Consider the following 3,379-nt stretch of genomic DNA (forward strand, 5'->3'; position numbering starts at 1 on the left):
GTGGTAGCGTGAGAGGATGGAGAGGGGAATGCTTGTTTTTGATCACAGTCTTGGTCCCAGGCTCATTTTTTCATGTACTTTCACCTTCCCATTTCTAGATGCTTTAAATTCTCCAGCCCATGTCTGGGATGGTACAGATTTACCTGTGGTCTCATGAAGAAAGAGCAGGACCCAAAAGAAACACAGAATCTGGAAGTGTTTGTCATCAGATCAACAACCTAGAAGTTGGAAGAGTCTAGTCCTGTGTGATCATGAAGACAATGATCTTCTTTCCTATCTAGAAAGCAGAAATGATATCCAGCCTTCCACACCTGTGAACACAGGCCTGAGCACCCACTGTCCAGGTTAACAAAGATGTCCTCAAGGGCCAGACCTGAGCAAAATTAGAAAATAGAGGTGGTATGTTGCAAGAAGCACTGGAACAGAAGCTGTGATACCTGGATCCTGGCTCTGCCATTAACTCATTATGTGACCTTGAACAAGTCATTTCACTTGTTTTGAGTCTTGGTTTTGAGTCATTTGACTTGGTTTGAGTCATTTCATTTTTTGAGCCTTGGTTTTCTTGTGTAAAGTGTTTTAAACATAAGAAATGTTATTACATTTTACACATAAGAAAACCAAGCCTCAAAAAAGTTAAATGACTTGTTCAAGGTCACATAACTCATTAATGGTAGAGCCAGGATCCAGGTATCACGGCTCCTGTCATGGTTCAAAAACTCCCAGTATTTATGGACAAGAAGAAAACGTTTAGAAAATATTTTAATCGGATATAAAAAAAACAAAGTTGTCTTGAAAATCAGGGTCAGCCTTCCACAATCATGCCCTCTCCCTCTCATTTGTCTCTCTCTCTCTAATTCTTTCTTTCTGGTTCCTCAGGTTAAGAAATAAATCTAAATAATTTATAATAAAGTGTTATCACCATAGGTGACACCTCCTTTATTGGTATTTGTGTGCTAAGAAATCAATATCTGGTGTTAGGATGTCAGATGCTTGCAAGCTGAAGAATGTGGAAGAAGATTGTTTTTGCATGTACATGCGTGTGTGTGTGTGTGTGTGTGTGTGTGTGTGTGTATGTGTGTGTGTTTTGAGGGAGGTGAGTAATTGGTATCCTTCTTAGGTAGAATACTCCAAAGACAGCAGCCTCTCTAGCTGAGGCAAAGCTGGCTGTGCAAAGAGCCTTTTACAGCGTGGCCCACAGACAATGTGAAATTCTCTCTCCTCTGCAGCCTTGGTCTGCAGTGACACTGGCAGATGCTAAACTTCGGCCTGTCTAGAACAGTTAATTAGGTTATAGAGGCTGCCAAAAATCCCAAAGTCATCCAAAGAAAATGCAACACTTTGAGATCTGAAGCAAAGGTCAGAAGACACAAACACTAATCCTATTTCTGAGAAGAGAGAAACAAACAAAGAAGTAAGAGAAAAAAGAAAGGCAGGAAGGCAGGTCCCTGACAATCTGGCAACTTCTAATCACTCTTTTATAAACAATATTGAGATCAGGCATAAAGTGATCCTAGCTCTTTTCTCCAGTAATAGATACTGTATATTCATACACGATGATATGCAATAAATACCGCATATTCATGACCTTTCCACAGCTCTCAGTCCATACCTCTTGAGACAATAGAGGATCTTTCAGGGACCCCCTTCCTGCTGAGAACATTTCCACCCGAGAATGACTCTGGAGTGAAGAAATTGAATCAATTAAATAACTGGGTATGTTCAAGCCTTCTTTACGGGTTGCATCAAATTATCACAAAGTAAGAACTGCTGCTGTCTGCCCCCTGGTTCTCAGGAGTGGAGAGGCAGCCTTACAAACCTAGAGACCCAATTCTTCCAAAGAGGTTACCCCAGAACGTGTGTGTTGGGGCTGGGGTGGGGTAAAAAAATGAACAGCAGTGCATAGGACTTCACTGCCACCAGCAGGCCCCAGAGGAAGTGCAGGCCCAGAGGAGGCCGGGCTGCTTAGGTTAGGACCATCCAGGCAAGAAGAGAACACTTGCGTCTGAACTGCCTCACCCTGTGCCCGCCCACCCCTTCCCCAATCTCAGAGATTTGGAAAAACTGTTCTTCTTCCCTAAAAGACAGGTGTTCCTGCCCAGAAGCCCAGAATAAGTGATTTATTGACTAAACTGCAATTAAGGCTACAAACACTCCCTTCTCCCTGCGCCGTTGGCCCCCAACACAATTACACTTTATTTTGCGAGGTCTTCGTTCCTGTCCTGGCTTATGCAGTATTTCCATGGGTGCAGTGGAGTGGAAGGGAGACGGCGATTTTACATCTGGGTCCCTCTGCGTCTCATGTCACCTAGGACGTGGACTGGACCCCTGCGCCGTCCACCTTGAGCCCGGAACCCGAGGACGGCCCCGCGTCCTCTGTGGCCGCCCTGGATCAACTTCAGGTGGAGCTGACCTACGCGTTGCACTGACTTTGAAGAGCGGCTGAAGCGCACACAAGAAGCTGCTGCCCACAGCCAGCTCCGATTTCTCGCACCCCGGTCCCAATCCACGGCCACCTGCACTTTGCGTAACGTTGCGCTGGGGGGCGCTCCAGAGAACCCACACCCTCCCGCCCGGCCCAGGTGCGCACCCGGCCGCGCGGGGCTCCAGCAACCTGGCGGCCGACGGGCCCGGGAGCTGTCAGGCGAGCAGAACAGCCGGTGAGTGCGCCTTGATGGGAGCAGAAAGGCCCCTAGGAACCTTGGAGGCCTCGGAGGAACTACCCGCGGAGATCCGCTCCCAGAAAGGTTCCGGGACCACGCGGCGAGGAGCACGTGAACGGCGCAGCTTGGCTATAAAAACCCCGCTCAAGCGCGCGTGGGGAGCAACCGGAGCGGCAGGACGCTGCCACCTGCGCCAGGAGAGATAGGGATGAAGCGATCGTCCCTCCAGGACGCCAGAGACAATCTGGAGACTTGATGCTTTAAACTCTCCGGGTCTGGCTTGGGGTTGTGTGCGTCGAACTTTGAGGCTGGATTCCCTGCACTTGGGCAGAGACGCACAGACGCCCGAGCGTGTGGATTCCCGAAAATTCTCAGGGCTTGTGTGACCTTTAGGAGAGTTGGAGGGGGCGTAGTAGAAATCTCAGGCTAATTGATTTCTTGTCCTCCACCACGGAGGCAGACAGGAGCCCTCGGCTGTCCACAGAGGAGTCCAGGAGGCTCCTGCGCACCCCCGAGGCCCCCGCGCCCAAGCCCCGGCCGTCCTCTAAGCCGCAAGTTATTTCTGCGCCCGAGAGAGGCGGGCTCGGATAAAGTCGGGACGCCTTCTGGTACATAAAGTTTCATCTGCTCTCCTCGCTCGCACGGTCCCTGCCGCCTGGCGGCCCCCTCCTCCCACGGCGGGCGCGGGCGGGGAGATGGCCGCCGGCGCTTCCCGGCGC

General features: G+C 50.2%; 1 non-coding gene across 1 annotated transcript; it reads right to left on the minus strand.

Annotated features, from left to right (window-relative positions):
• Positions 1-546: 546 nt before the first annotated feature.
• MIR4801 (microRNA 4801) lies at positions 547-628 on the minus strand. Its single transcript, NR_039965.1, has one exon. It is a non-coding gene; the product is annotated as a microRNA 4801 (primary transcript).
• Positions 629-3,379: the final 2,751 nt, after the last annotated feature.

The sequence above is a fragment of the Homo sapiens genome, chromosome 4 (assembly GCF_000001405.40).
Source record: "Homo sapiens chromosome 4, GRCh38.p14 Primary Assembly".
NCBI classification, from domain to species: domain Eukaryota; kingdom Metazoa; phylum Chordata; class Mammalia; order Primates; family Hominidae; genus Homo; species Homo sapiens.